The sequence below is a fragment of the Homo sapiens genome, chromosome 1, assembly GCF_000001405.40.
Source record: "Homo sapiens chromosome 1, GRCh38.p14 Primary Assembly".
Taxonomy (NCBI): Eukaryota; Metazoa; Chordata; class Mammalia; order Primates; family Hominidae; genus Homo; species Homo sapiens.
The window spans coordinates 62,239,093-62,255,323 of NC_000001.11; the positions used below are offsets into that span (position 1 = coordinate 62,239,093).

Here is a 16,231-nt window from a genome sequence, read left to right on the forward strand (position 1 = left end):
TGTCTCACTATGTTGCCCAGGCTGGTCTTGAACTCCTGGGCTCAAGTGGCCCACCCACATTGGCTTTCCAAAGTTTTGGGATTACAGACATGAATTTGCAATCCTGTCCTGTCCTGCACCTGTCCTGTTGTTGGTTTTTAAATAAAGGAATTATATTGTATACCAACTTTGAATTTGCTTTTATTCTTAATTTACCATGATATGCTATAAGATGTTTCTCTATTCTTACATAGCCATTATAATGCATGATTTTTCTTTTTGGCTGTGTAATATTCCATAATTTACTAATTTTTGCTAATTATGGAAATATTCCATAACTTCCTTTCAGTGGAAATGTATGTTGTTTCTAAGTCTCTGCCATCATAATCTTAGTGCAAAAAGCATTTTCCCATTTTAAATTATTTCCTAAGGACTGGTTCTTTTATTATTATTATTATTATACTTTAAGTTCTAGGGTACCTGTGCACAACATGCAGGTTTGTTACACATGTATATATGTGCCATGTTGGTGTGCTGCACCCATTAACTCGTCATTTACAGTAGGTATATCCCCTAATGCTATCCCTCCTCACTCCCCCCACCCCACGACAGGCCCTGGTGTGTGATGTTCCCTGCCCTGTGTCCAGGTGTTCTCATTGTTCAATTCCCACCTATGAGTGAGAACATGTGGTGTTTGGTTTTCTTTCCTTGCGATGGTTTGCTCAGAATGATGGTTTCCAGCTTCATCCATGTCCCTACAAAGGACATGAACTCATCCTTTTTCATGGCTGCATAGTATTCCATGGTGTATATATGCCACATATTCTTAATCCAGTCTATCATTGTTGGACATTTGGGTTGGTTCCAAGTCTTTGCTATTGTGAATAGTGCCACAATAAACATACATGTGCATGTGTCTTTATAGCAGCATGATTTATAGTCCTTTGGGTATATACCCAGTAATGGGATGGGTGGGTCAAATGGTATTTCTAGTTCTAGATCCCTGAGGAATCACCGCACTGTCTTCCACAATGGTTGAACTAGCTTACAGTCCCACCAACAGTGTAAAAGTGTTCTTATTTCTCCACATCCTCTCCAGCACCTGTTGTTTCCTGACTTTTTAATGATCTCCATTCTAACTGGTGTAAGATGGTATCTCATTGTGGTTTTGATTTGCATTTCTCTGATGGCCAGTGATGATGAGCATTTTTTCATGTGTCTTTTGGCTGCATAAATGTCTTCTTTTGAGAAGTGTCTGTTCATATCCTTTGCCCACTTTACAAGAAAAAGGACTCACTCTTAGAAGTGGGCTCAGAGGCTGGGTGCAGTGGCTCATGCCTGTAATCCCAGCACTTTGGGAGGCCAAGGCCGGTGGATCACCTGAGGTTGGGAGTTCAAGACCAGCCTGCCCAACATGGAGAAACCCCATCTCTACTAAAAATACAAAATTAGCCTGGCGTGGTGGCACATGTCTGTAACCCCAGCTACTTGGGAGGCTGAGGCATGGGAATCGCTTGAAACTGGGAGGCAGAGGTTGCGGTGAGACAAGATTGCGCCATTGCACTCCAGCCTGGGCAACAGGAGTGAAACTCCATCTCAAAAAATAAATTAATTAATTAAATTAAATAAAAAGAAGTGGGCTCACAGCATTAAGGGACATGCACATTTTCACCTCCTGATCTGTGATGTCACAGCACTCTTTACATTGACACGGTGATGCAGGAAGCTGGCAGTCCCACTGTCTAAAGAAGCTGCACCCAGAGGGCTCTCATCAGGCACCACCGGCCTGACTGAGCAGCTGCAGTCTCTTATGAATGAGCTCAATCCCATGTACAGAATTCTGAACTCTAAACAGCTCCAAAAACCACACTCTTTAGATAACTTATTGGGAGCTGAAACCTGACCTGAGGCTGTTGGCCTACTGTGAATATTTTGACATTTTGCTGCTGTAAAGGGTTTGATGGGTAGAGGACACCCAAGACCCCACTAGATTGTTCTTTATTGCATATGCACAGATTTACTTCCTAAAATATGGACAATTCTTTCACAGAAGCAGGCAGGAAGTGTAGGAAGTGTAACACCCAGCTGAACACTCTTCAGGCTTTTTCCCATGCACGGGGATAGAATCCAGCGGCCATCAGGGCTCCCACGCATGCAAATAACTATAAAGCACGGCAAAGCACTAAACGAGTCAGAAGACAGGAACAGAGTGAGCTCAGGGGAGAGGATGGGCACTGTGTGCCAGGGCGGGGTAGAAGATGGCTCGGGGGGAGGCAGAGGAAGGAAGTGGCATTTCAGTGGGACCCCCGAAGATGGCACATGGGCTTCTCAAAACATACAAACTCTTTCCCCGAAAAGCCCTCATGACTCCCTGGACTTTTCTTTTACCACTCGTTCTATGCTCGTATTTGTGAGGTTATTTGATAAATTTCAGTCTCCACGAGGTCAAGAACTTGATCTGGCCTGTTCACTGCTGCATGTTGGCACCTGGCCCAGGGCCTGGCATTTGGTCGGCCCTCAACAAACATTGTTGAAAGAGAGAATGCTGCACAAGAACCTAACGGTATTCATTCAAGCTGATGGAATCTAAATCCTAGTGAATGGGTTCTTACATTGGAAAGTACTGGAACAAAACAAAGATTTTAAGCAGGGAGTCCTGTAAAAGCCTCCTAAAGGAGGAGCCTGGGTTTATGTAGGCCCGAATTCCTGCTCCTGAACTTCATCTGCTGTGCCTTGTCAATCCTAAGCCTCTATGTAAACACAGAGTATGTACTGACAGTGTTTACGGAGAAGAGCCACAGGGCCAGTCCCAGGGGAGGTGCACCTTTTAACAGGGTCCATCTGGAGGACAGCCTGCAGCTGTGGACTCCTCGACTGCAGACATGGAGAGCAGAGGACCCCATTCAGCTCAGGAGGTGTGGCCAGAGAGACCACTTGGCGAGGGTTAGTGTTCCTCAGATGCCTCTGCCAGAACTCTGGGAACAAGCCCATGCCATGCAGCTCCCATGGGAGCCAGGTATGGTGAGCCTCTGCTCGACAACACTCCAGAGCTGCTCTAGGAGACCCCGACTGAAGAGATGGGGAACTAGCCAGGTATGGTGCAAAATTTGCGTGTAACTTCAGGGATTCAAGAATCTGCACTTGGCCAGGTGCACTGGCTCATGCTTGTAATCCCAACACTTTGGGAGGCTGAGGCGGGAGGATCACTTGAGCCCAGGAGGTCAAGGTTGCAATAAGCCATGATCGTGCCACTGCACTCCAGCCTGGGCAACAGGGTGAGACCATACCTCAAAAAAAAAAAAAAAAAAAAAAAAAAAAAAGGAAAGAAAAAGAGAAGGGTGCAGGCAGCTGGCACAACTGTGTGTGTATCCATGTGTTGGAGAGGGGTGTCTTTGAATTCATCACTAGTCCACTATGCATCACCCAAAGATGAGCAAGGCATAACCTCTGCCTTCAAGAAGTTTTCAATCTGATGGGTGCTTTAAAGAAGCTGCCAAAATGAAGGGTGGGCTCTGGGACCCAGAAGAGGCTGGGTGGCAGATTTCCTCAAATTGTCTTTAAATCTAGGGAAAGGGCCTGGCCAGCTGTTCTGGGAATTCTGCATTTATACCGAACTTTAAATGTTGATGAAATAAACCAATTTCAGGACATGAATTCTCTCCCAGTTTTCCAAAGACATTCCCAAATGAGCTCTGCTGCTAACATCTAAGCCTCCATAGGAAAGATGAATACGGAAATGATATGGTGGGTATGATAAGGGCCAGACTTTCCCTCTAAATGTGAAGCACCAGGTACAAGCCTTGGTGCTTGGTAGAGCCTTGTCAAAAGCTCCCTTTTCCCACTGAAATGTCTCACCCTGTGGATGGAGACACTGTGCTCCCCAAAGTCACCCTTGGGAATCTGCATGTGAATCAACCCTGACCCAGGTGGGCAGCATGTGACCCATCCATGAGTGGGGTCTGGAACCCATCTTACCTGTGGGCCCATTACCTGCACTACCTGGGCACCACTGTGCCGGCTGGGCTTTCCCTAACTTACTCCAGTTTCTGCCATGATAGATTTCCTCCTCCATTTCCTGATTGGCACTCCAGTCCCTCCCTTCCAGGCTTACAGCCTACCCGAACTCCAGCCTGCCTGGTCCTCAGCCTGGCCTGGCTCTCCCTGATCCAGCACTTCCCCGGGATTAGCTACCTAAACCCACCTGGATTTCAGTGTTTGCCTAAACCAGGCATTCTCAATTGCAGCACTATTGATATTTTGGACCAGATAATTTTTTTTTTTTTTTGAGACAGAGTTTTGTTCTTTCACCCAGGTTGGAGTGCAGTGGCGCAATCTCAGCTCACTGCAACCTCCACCTCCCAGGTTCAAGCAATTCTCCTGTCTCAGCCTCCTGAGTAGCTGGGATTGCAGATGCGTGCCACCATGCCTGGCTAATTTTTGTGTTTTTAGTAGAGACAGGGTTTCAAAATGTTGGCCAGGCTGGTCTTGAACTCCTGACCTCAAGTGATCCACCCGCCTCGGCCTCCCAAAGTGCTGGGATTACAGGTGTGAGCCACTGGGCCTGGATGGATAATTGTTAATTCTTTGCTGTTCCTGTGCGTTGTAGGATGTTTAGCTGTATCCCTGGCCTCTACCCACTAGATGTCAGGAGCATTTGCTCACCCACTTGTGACTAAAAATGTCCCCAGACATTGCCAAATCTCCCCCAGAGAGTAAAATCACCCCTAGCTGAGAACCACTAGACTGAACCAAGTCTGTCAGTGGCTTCTCCCTTCAGGGGTCAGTCGCCCTACTCTGATTGGTTCCCCTAATTCAAGACCTTTGTTCTCCCTGCTCCCTCCAGACACTGTCTGTAAATGCCATGTTCCCTGCTGGTTGATGTGGTGGTTTTTTTTTTGTTTTAGCTATCACTGTTCATCTATTCATAATTAAAATAGTTACCATCCCCTGTGTGCTCCTAGATGTCAGATTCAGCCTTTATAAACATTACAGTATTTAGATAGAGTCTACTGCTGTCCCCATTTTACAGATGAGCATCTAGAGGCCCAGAATACTTAGGTCACCTACCCAAAGGAACCTACCCAAAGTCACTGAACCTAGATTCAAACTCATGAGTGTTTATTTTTTATTTTTTTTTTTTTTGAGACAGGGTCTCACTCTGTCACCCAGACAGGTGTTTCCTGGTATGATCACGGCTCACTGTAGCTTCATCTTCCCGGGCTCAGGCAATCTTCCTGCCTCAGCCTCCCAAGTAGCTGGGACTACAGGTGCAAGCCACCACACTCAGCTAATCTTTTTCTATTTTCTGTAGAGAGGGGGTGATATGGTTTGGCTGTGTCCCCACCCAAATCTCATCTTGAATTCCCATGTGTTGGGGGAGGGACCTGTGGGAAGTAATTGAATCATGGGGGCAGGTCTTTCCTGTGCCATTCTCATGATAGTGAGTAAGTCTCATGAGATCTGATGGTTATTATAAGGGGGAGTTTTCCTGCAAAAGCTCTCTCTTTGCTTGCTGCTATCCATGTAAGATGTGATTTGCTCCTCCTTGCCTTCCGCCATGATTGAGACTTTCCCAGCCGTGTGGAACTGTAAGTCCAATTAAACCTCTTTCTTTTGTAAATTGCCCAGTCTCGGGTATGTCTTTATCAGCAGTGTGAAAACAGACTAATACAGGGGGTCTCACTTTGTTGCCAAGACTGGTCTCAAACTCCTGGGCTCAAGCAATCGTCCTGACTTGGCCTCCCAAAGTGTTGGGATTACAGGCAGAAGCCACTGCACCTGGCCTCATGAGCGTTTAAAGTCCATGCTTCTAACAATCATGCTTGAGTTGTCTGAAATGCAACAGATCCCACAACTCTTCCACCATCAGAAAACAGCCACTTAGCTCTCTCGTACCTGTGACAGACCTCCAGAGATACCCAGGAGAGCTCTCAGATCCACTGCCTGATTATCCTAGCTAACCAGGGACTTCCAAAGCTCATGCCTGCCTGCCTGTCCCACGGGCCTCCCATCTCAGGCCTCTTCGGGCATCAGCAGTGGCTACTCCTTAGAGGGCCAGGGGCCTTTGATGTACAAACCTGTTCCAGATTAAGGGCTGCCTCCTTCTCCCCCAGGACAACCCAGCAGGGAGCTCATTAACACAGATCCTTTGTTTGACCACATAATGTTTGGAAAAGGAGGCTCTGGTTTCCAGTAGCCCACCCCTGTTCCCATATGAATGTCAAGAAGGTCAGTGCCCTCTAATGATCTTAGAAATGGCTTTGGGGTGAAGCTAAGATTCACAGGACCTAGAGTCACTGGATGAGTGCCTGCTGTCTGGGTGTGACTGAGGGACTCAGCAGCTTAAATTGCTGATGAGTCAATCTTTGGGTAGTTTAAATGTGGCCCAGTAAGAGGTGCTGTCCCTGGGCAGGGAGATGACTCTCTTCCCCTCTCCAGGTTTTTGTTCCCTTTGAATTGTGGCTGTTAAGAAAGCATAAAGTCATCTGCTTAAATCATTAAATTACAGTGCCAATATTAAGGAGTCAGACCTGGGCTTGAATCTCTGCTCTGCGAATCAGTAGCTTGAAAATCTTAGGACAGTTACATAACATCTCCAGGCCTGTTTTCTCATAAGTAAAAAGTGGGGTCGATATCTATCTCACTGGATTACTGAGAGGATTAGAGGTAATGCATGGGAAAGGTTTAGTTCCCAGGAGCACTCTAGAAATATTATTATATCTACTGTAATTATCAGGAACAAGGTCACTTACTGTTGACTTACCTCCAAAGTTTAGGGGTTCACTCATTCATTTGTTGATTGTTTCAATGATATGTGGCGGGCACTCTACTAGGTGTGGGAGCCAGAGACATGGATGCTTCAATGTGACAACAGTGATGATGATGGAACGTTAAGGGTATGGGCCCAGGAGTTTAATGGAGCCGGGTTCCACTAGCTGAGTAATCTTGGGTATGTAACCTAACCATTTGATGCCTCCGTCTCCTTGAGCAAAGTGGGGCAGCAGGAAGACGGTCAATCTCACAAGATTGTTGTGGGGTTTAAATGAGATGGTCCATGGCAAATGCTTAGTACAGTACCTGACACAGAGTAAGCCCTCCATGTGTGTTGGTTACTATTGTTACTGATTAGTTACTATTGTCATCATCATCATTGCCGTCACCTTACGAGGAAGTTTATTTAAGAAGCCTGTGACTGACAGTGCAACTTCAAGTAGGCTGGCTCGATGGAATGGGCTGCTTCAGAAAGTGGGTCAGTGTCCGAGAGGCACTTTCAGTTAAGTGACTACAGAGATGACTCTGTAAGGTTGATTCCTTCTGAAGGCTTTTGAGTCCCTGCTGGACAGCAGAGCTTCCCCATCTAAGCTACTGCCTCAAAGCCCACATGCTGTTATTGCCATGACCAGATGAGACTCAGGGCCAAGCCAGGCCTGGGAATATTCACCCAGGATGGTGTTGTGAAAGGTCAGGGTTGTGGGTTTCACGGCTCTAAGACTCCAAACATTTACCATGAATCATCTCATTTATTTATTTATTCAAATTTGTTAGAGACAGGGTCTCACTCTGTCACCCAGGCTGGAGTGCAGTGGCCTGACCATGGCTCACTGCAACCTCAACCTTCTGGGCTCAAGCAATCCTCCTGCCTCAGCCTGCTGAGTAGCTGGGATTACAGGCGTGCACCACCATACCTGGTTAATTTTTTTTTTTTTTGAGACAGAGTTTCATGTTGTTGCCTAGGCTGGAGTGCAATAGTGCGATCTCAGCTCACTGCAACCTCTGCCTCCCACGTTCAAGCGGTTCTCCTGCCTCAGCCTCCTGAGTAGCTGGAATTACAGGCTCCCACCACCAGGTCCAGCTAATTTTTGTATTTTTAGTAGAGATGGGGTTTCATCATGTTGGCCAGGCCGGTCTCAAACTCCTGACCTCAGGTGATCGACCTGCCTCAGCCTCCCAAAGTGCTGGGATTACAGGTGTGAGCCATTGCACCAGGCTATTTTTTTTTTTAAGAGACAGGGTCTCACTGTGTTGCCCAGGCTGGTCTTGAACTCTTGGCCTCAAGCAATCCTCCTGCCTTGGCCTCTGAAAGTGTTGGGATTACAGACGTGAGCCACTGTGCTGAGCCTCTTATTTAAATCCCACAACAGCCTTAGGAAGCTGATTTTGTTGCATTGCCATAGGATTCCTTGAATTCTGCTGGCCGGCAAGGCACTCTGAGGAGGGGAAGTTAAACAGCTACTTTTTTTTTTTTTTTTAAGAGATGGGGGTCTCCCTATGTTGCCTAGGCTGGTCTCGAACTCCTGGGCTCAAGTGATCCTCCCGCCTCAGCCTCCCAAAGTGCTGGGGTTACAGGTATGAGCCACCCTGCCCAGCAACAGCTACTTGTTAATTGCCTGTAAGTCTCACCTTGTCAGTCAGGCTGCTGTCGCAGGCTGGGTGTGCCAGGAGCAGCCGCACCAGGTCCACGTTGCCATGGTGACAGGCCACCATGAGGGCCGAGGATCCATCGTGGTCCTGCAGATTGACATCTGCCTGGCAGCTAAGCAGCGCTTGAACCATGTCCTCCCTGTCGTGGCTGACTCCCAGCATCAGCGCAGTCTGGCCTCCCTGCATGCAGAGCCACAGGGATGTGGTGAGGTTGCTGCCAGTGGGGAAGGACCCCCTCTCCAGCCTGGGTGTGCTCATCAGAGACTTCTCAATACCACAACCACTGATTTGAATCTCCTGCCCTTGATATGGGACATAACCTTCTCTGCTTGGCAAAATTCTACTCTTTTAAGACTAGTCAAATGCTACATCCTCTCTAAAGCCTTCTCTCACTCCCCAGGCACGGGAATCCTAACACAGCACTCACCACTTAGTATTGCAACTTGTCAACTTCTCTTTCTCACGGATTGTGACATTGTTGACGGCAGGGACTAAGTGTTTTTGTCCCTGTCTCCCCAGTGTCTAGCACCAAGAACGTGCTGATAAATGTCGAATGACGGAACAGATGAAGGTTGAATGCTTGAGCATCATGGCTTCTTACTGCCTGCCCCAGCCTGACTTTCCCCAGGAAGCCTTCTCTGCTCAATGCCTCTGAAATTTTCAGTTTAAGGATACCCAGAACCCTCTTCTCTCAACACGATCTCTGGTTGCATGTCCTGTGGTCATTTCTAATCTATAGACATTGACAGTAATCTTGGGCATCTCTGTAATCATAGGTGGACGTAGCAATGAGCCGGAATCAGAAAGCAAGCTCTAGTTCTACTGTTTCCTAATGCATGATTCAGGCCACATCACTGTCTTCCTTGATTCTTGGTTTTTCTTTTCTTTTTTTTGAAGATGGGGTCTTGCTGTGTTACCCAGGCTGGAGTGCAGTGGCACAATCACAGCTCACTGCAGCATCAGTCTTCTGGGATCAAGTGATTCTCCCACCTTAGCCTCCCAAGTAGCTGAGCTCATGGGCACGTGCCACTCAATATACCTGGTTAGTTTTTTTGTTTTTTTTTTTTTGTGAGACAAAGTCTCACTCTTGTCGCCGAGGCTGGAGTGCAATGGCACGATCTCAGTTCACTGCAACCTCCGCCTCCAGGTTCAAGTCATTCTCCTGCCTCAGCCGCCCAAGTAGCTGGGATTACAGGCAGCTGCCACCATGCCCAGCTAATTTTTGTGTTTTTATTAGAGACAGGCTTTCCCCATGTTGACCAGGCTGGTCTTGAACTCCTGACCTCAGGTGATCCGCCTGCCTTGGCCTCCCAATGTGCTGGGATTACAGGTGTGAGCCACTGTGCCCAGCTTGTTTTCCTTCTCTTAAAAATTAATGTAACAATTGGGGCCGGGTGCAGTGGCTCACGCCTGTAATCCCTGCACTTTGGGAGGCCAAGGCGGGCAGATCACCTGAGGTCAGGAGTTCAAGACCAGCCTGGCCAACATGGTGAAACTCTGTCTCTACTAAAAAAAAAAAAAAAATACAAAAATTAGCTAGGTATGGTGGCGGGCGCCTGCTATTCGGGAGGCTGAGGCAGGAGAATCACTTGAACCCGGGAGGCAGAGGTTGCAGTGAGCTGAGATTGCACTACTGCACTCCAGCCTGGTCAACAGAGCAAAATCTGTCTCAAAAAAAAAAAATTAATATAACAATGATTTGTCCTGTGTACCTCGCAGGGCTTTTGTGGGAATCAAGTGAGATAAAGTATGTAAATATAATGATGTACAGTAATAATTTTTCTGATTACAAATTGACCATCATTTCCCATAGATTTTCTTAATTTTGTTATATACACTATATGTGTGCATGTTTGTGTGTGTGCGTGTGTGTATATATATATATACATGTATTTTTTTTTTTTGAGACAGAATCTCGCTCTATTACCCAGGCTGGAGTGCAGTGGCATGATCGCGACTCACTGCAACCTCTGCCTCCTGGGCTCAAGTGATCCTCCTACCTCAGTCTCCTGAGTAGCTGTGACCATAGGCATGTGCCACTACATCTGGCCAATTTTTTTTTTTTTTTGAGATGGAGTCTTGCTCTGTTGCCCAGGCTGGAGTGCAATGGTGCAATCTCGGCTCACTGCAACCTCTGCCTCACGGGTTCAAGCCATTCTCCTGCCTCAGCCTCCCGAGTAGCTGGGATTACGGGCGCCCACCATTACGCCAGGCTAATTTTTGTATGTTTAGTAGAGACGGGGTTTCACCATGTTGGTCAGGCTGGTCTTGAACTCCTGACCTCAGGTGATCTGCCTACCTCGGCCTCCCAAAGTGCTGGGATTACAGGCATGAGCCACCGCACCCAGCACATCTGGTCAATTTTTGTATTTTTTGTAGTGATGGGGTTTTGCGATGTTGCCCAGGCTGATCCTGAGCAGTCCACCCACCTTGGCCTCTCAAAGTGCTGAGATTACAGGCATGAGCCACCGTGCCTGACTGTGTGTATATTTCTTTTCTTTTCTTTTTTTTGAGATGGAGTCTCGCTCTGTCACCCAGGCTGGAGTGCAGTGGCGTGATCTTGGCTCACTGCAATCTCCGCCTCCTGGGTTCAAGCGATTCTCCTGCCCCTCAGCCTCCCAAGTAGCTGGGAATACAGGCGTGCATCACCACACCCGGCTATTTTTTGTATTTTTAGTAGAGATAGGGTTTCACCATGTTGGCCAGGCTGGCCTCAAACTCCCGACCTCAAGTGATCAGCCCGCCTCGGCCTCCCAAAGTGCTGGGATCATAGGCGTGAGCCACCGTGCCCAGCCCCCAGCTGTTATTAAAGCCAGATGACATATGCAGATGGTCCTCACATCTGCCCCTCTGCCTGATGCAGGGCCCCTTCCTTCCTCATTGTCCTCCCGGTCCCTTTCAATATAATTTAATTCAATGAGCATTTATAGAGAGCTACTATATGCTGCTGCATTGCCCTGGAGATCCAGAGAGAAGCAGCTTTTTCCTAGGAATACACTCCCAGTGTATTCCCATTTAACCTGGTACCTCTGCTCTCTTCACATGTGAAGGCCCAGGGGGAGCTAAAGGGAATGGCTGCAGCTATGCATTCTCACCCCTCCTTTGGTGACCCGGAATGAGTCCCTTGCCCTCCTACAGCATCAGTTTCTTCTCTGTACAAAGAAGGGGTTGATTTTGATCCTCTTGCAAGCAACCCCTCTTACAAGAGGGACAATTTAGAAAATAATTAACGTATTTATGGGAAACATTAGTTAAAATGAAACATTAGCTGTATTGAGTCTTAAGGGACAGGAGTTGTAGGTGACTAGAATACCTTGAAAACCAGAAAGTAATCTATAAACATCGGCTTCTGGCCGTCACTAGGGTTGCTATCAGATGAAGTATGCAACGGTGACTTTGCCATCGGGTTAGGTTACTATCTGCAATCTCTCTGGGGGAGTGTAGGACAGTGGTGCTTAATATATTGTTAGGAGTCCATTTTCCATAAGTCTCTTGCTTTTTTGCACATCTTGTGAGTAAAGCACACCACAATCTGCCCTTTTGCTCTAGACTATCTTTTTAAGGCTGTTTATATAGTGAACAGCCTTGGAAGCTGGAGATATTGTCTTCTTTGGAGAAAAGGGCAGGCAGGCTTACTGTCCCTTATCAAAGCTTCAGGTTCCCTACACTCAGGTGTCCTGTCCTGCAACGCAGCCCACTCCATGCTTAGCTTTGTGGCCCTCCTCACACTGCCCTGTGGGAGCTGGGATTTGGGCAATGCTGATACTGTGGCTACTGCTTCGGCTGTGGGTAATACACAGTCCTTTGTCTCGGGCACAGAAGTCTCATGTCTTCTGCCAGCATCCACAAAACTGTAGCAGGCTACCTTGTTAGCTTTAACGTGGGGTAAAAGCCCAGACTCTTCACAGTTCTCAACAGTTACCTTATCATCTATGATCACTCCAGGGGAAAGGAGAGTTAAACATACTCCATTCATTCCTGTAGGTTCAAAAAATGGGCAAATGACCTTTTGAGGAGTCCCCGTTGTTCCATGTGGAGCCTTGTCTAACTCAAAGCCCTTCTGGGTAAGGACCACACCCCCACCCTGTGTTCTCAAGCAGAGGGCCCCAGAAGATGAATAGAGACATTCCAACCCTCTGTGCTGCCTTTGCTGTCTTAAGATCCTTTTTGGAGTGAACCCCAATCAACTTGTACTTAATCACTGCAGGAAAGATTCAGAGGCCGGGCGCGGTGGCTCACGCCTGTAATCTCAGCACTTTGAAAGCCCGAGGCGGGTGGATCACCTGAGGTCAGGAGTTCAACACCAGTCTGGCCAACATAGTGAAACCCCATCTCTAAAAAATACAAAAATTAGCTGGGCATGATGGCGGGTGCCTGTAGTCCCAGCTACTTGGGAGGCTGAGGCGGAAGAATCGCTTGAACCCAGGAGGTGGAGGTTGCGGTGAGCCGAGATCAAGCCATTGCACTCCAGTCTGGGTGACAGAGTGAGACTCCGTTTCAAAAAAAAAAAAAAAAGATTCAGAGTACCCAGTCTTGGCTCAGTTTAAAAAGTTATCAGAGGTGTCTAGAGTAACAAATGGGCTACTTTGGTAGTGCATGAGTTTCCTGACACTGGAGGTCCTGGAGCTGGAGACCAAGCAAAGAAGCAGGAGACCACCTGGTAGGATTTTGCAAAATAATAAGGGGTAGACCTAGGTGACATTTAAGGGCTCTTCTGACCTAAGGCACAAGTGACCCAGTGAATTAGTGGAGCCCACGTGTCCTGAATCTCTGGCTATTACATTTGTGTAGGGCCCTACTGGGTCTTCGCAGCAACTGCTGCTCCCAGCCTGGCCCATAGCACTGCTCCTGGGGACTGGGGCATGATTTGTGTGTCTGGAATAATACCACTCACAATTGTTGGTGCAGAGGTAAGGCAGATAGGAGTGTTTTGGGATCTGGTTATTTCAAGGGCTGAGGCAGCATGCCAGGTTGATTGATAATGACCTGCAGAACTCTATAATAAGCCTCTGAGCTAAGCTGAGGCCTGGAAAGTGGGAATCCTCACACCCCTAGGAATGATCAGCCAGTGCTTCTGTCTGCCCTGGCTATCCACACTTTCCCTCAGTCTGAGGACTCATGACCTTGTTAAAAGGCTTTGGGGTGACAGAGGTGAGAACTTCTTTAAAGGACTGGACCTCCAAAGAGCCTAGTTAGGTGCCTGTGGGCCAAGATCAAGGTGGGTCACCTGTGAGGGCTTTCTTAGAGCAGCCAACTAGCAAATGCCTTCTCAAGATGGCAACTGGGAATGTTGGTTCTAGAGGTTGCATCCAGATGGAATTTGCTCAGTTTCAGACTGGGACTTATATTAGAAGCTCACTGACCTCTGTGCAAGCTGTGCAAGCTCCTGGCTGGGTCTCGGGAGCCTATAAGGAAAACTGAATATTCAGGCTTTGCCTGATGCCATTTGGAGGTCCCAGCCTCCTTGGGTTAAAAACTACATGGATCTGCATGGAATTTCTCACCCCACTAGCAGAATAAAGCGGGAGGTGCCCCTGCATTTACTGAAGAGGAGATCCTGTTCATTCCACCCACCTGAGTAGCTTGAATGTTCACATTTCCTTCTCTTAAGAGCTTCCAGACAACAGCCATGTCTTCATTGGTCTCTGCGGAAGCCAAGGGAGTGATCATTACGGCAGTGTAGCCAGCTTTGTTCTGATGGTCCACATTGCAGACGCCTGCAAGAGAAGCAATGGGTGCTGCAAAGGCTCCTGAGGGGCCAGGAGCCAGACTCCACTTTAGCCGTTTCAATGGGACACTGCTCGCTGGTTAGAAAGCCATGGACTAGAGCAATGCTTTCCACAGCTGGAGCCAGTGGTTTACATTTGTAGCAGCCTTTAAAGATGGTTTCTTTTCTTTTCTTTTTTTTCTTTCTTTCTTTTTTTTTTTTTTTTTTGAGACAGAGTCTTGCTCTGTCACCCAGGCTGGAGTGCAGTGACTCAATCCCGTCTCACTGCAACCTCCACCTCCCAGGTTCAAGCAATTCTGCTGCCTCAGCCTCCTGAGTAGCCAGGATTACAGGCGTGCGCCACCACACCTGGCTAATTTTTTTTTGTATTTTTAGTAGAGACGGGGTTTCACCATGTTGGTCAGGCTGGTCCCGAACTCCTGACTTCGTGATCCACCCTCCTTGGCTTCGCAAAGTGCTGAGATTACAGGCATGAGCCACCGCGCCCAGCCAGCTGGTTACTTTTCTTGACAAGTTTTCTGAGGATACCCAGCAAGGGAGGCCCACAACAAAGCCAGAGATGGCCAAAGGGCCAGTGGCCTTGACTTCATCTCCTAAACTGGAGCACAAGATGTTATTCCCATTTTACAGATGAGGACACTGAGGGCCAGAGAAGTTACATTGTCCACTCATGTGAAGGTGAAGTGGGTCAGGAACACTCAGGTCTGTCCGGCTCTGGTGCTCATCCCTCACCTGCCCATATGCCTGGAATGCCACCCACGGCTGTGCATTTTGGGTTTCACACTCACTAGCTCACGTTTGTGTGTAACAAACTAATGGCTGTGTTTGTAGGTCCTTTCCAAGGGCCTAGGGGTCTACTGTGCCAAGTACCAGGAGGGTGAACAACACCATGGGATAAACGTGGGAAATCTTCTAAGAACAACCATCTCACTTGAAAAATGGAGGGAAAAAAAACTCCACAATTTTTATATTAAAACAATTAAGAATTACATTTCACAATACAATGGAAACCTAGCATTATTTGTTTATTTGTTTATTTTTCTTGAGACAAGGTCTCACTCTGTCACCCAGGCTGGAGTGCAGTGGTGCAATCTCAGCTCACTGCAACTTCTGCCTCCCGGGTTCAAGTGATCCTCCTGCCTCAGCCTCTCGAGTAGCCTGTAGGTGCCCGCCACCATGCCTGGCTAATTTTTGTATTTTTAGTAGAGACAGAGTTTCACTGTATTGGCCAGTCTGGTCTCGAACTCCTGATCTCAAATGATCCACCTGCCTCGGCCTCCGAAAGTGCTGGGATTACAGGTGTGAGCCACTGTACCCAGCCAAAAACCTGGCATTTTTTTTTTTGTTTTTTTTTTCAGACAGTCTCTCTGTCGCCCAGGCTGGAGTACAGTTGCATGATCTCGGCTCACTGCAACCTCCGCCTCCTGGGTTCAAGTGATTCTCCTGCCTCAGCCTCCTGAGTAGCTAGGACTACAGGCGTGCATCACCACGCTCAGCTGATTTTTTATTTTTTTTTAATGTATTTTTAGTAGAGATGGGATTTCACCATGTTGGTCAGGCTGGTCTCGAACTCCTGACCTCAAGCAATCTGCCCACCTCGGCCTCCCAAAGTGTTGGGATTATTACAGGCATGAGCCACTGTGCCTGATTAAACCTGGTATTTTTTTTTTTTTTTTTTTTTTTTGAGACGGAGTCTCGCTCTGTCACCAGGCTGGAGTGCAGTGGCGCGATCTTGGTTCACTGCAACCTCCATCTCCTGGGTTCAAGTGATTCTCCTGCCTCAGCCTCCTGAGTAGCTGGGATTACAGGTGCACGCCACCATGCCCGGCTAATTTTTGTATTTTTTAGTAGAGACCGGGTTTCACCATGTTGGTCAGGCTGGTCTCAAACTCCTGACCTCATGATCCACCCACCTCAGCCTCCCAAAGTGCTGGGATTACAGGCATGAGCCACGGTGCCTAGCCAAACCTGACATATTTTTAAGACTAAGTAGTAAATGAGAACTTTAAAGAAAGTTCTGCTTTGTAGCCCTGGGGATATGTATCCATATTCCTCCCCACCTAAGGAGAGGTAGGGGATCATCAGGCATAGACCGATAACTGT

At 47.7% G+C, this 16,231-nt stretch overlaps 1 protein-coding gene across 9 annotated transcripts in view; it reads right to left on the reverse strand.

Moving 5' to 3' along the window:
* KANK4 (KN motif and ankyrin repeat domains 4) overlaps nucleotides 1-16,231 on the reverse strand; it is an 83,270-nt gene that overhangs the window by 2,928 nt on the left and 64,111 nt on the right. For 7 of the 9 annotated variants that reach the window (NM_001320269.2, NM_181712.5, XM_017000484.3 and 4 more), the window contains 2 exons: nucleotides 13,975-14,117; nucleotides 8,380-8,580 (listed from right to left, as the gene is read on the reverse strand). In NM_001320269.2, coding sequence (NP_001307198.1) covers nucleotides 8,380-8,580; nucleotides 13,975-14,117 — 344 coding nt within the window. The remainder of the gene's footprint in view (nucleotides 1-8,379; nucleotides 8,581-13,974; nucleotides 14,118-16,231) is intronic. The other 2 variants (XM_011540845.4, XM_017000483.3) reach the window with 2 other exon arrangements.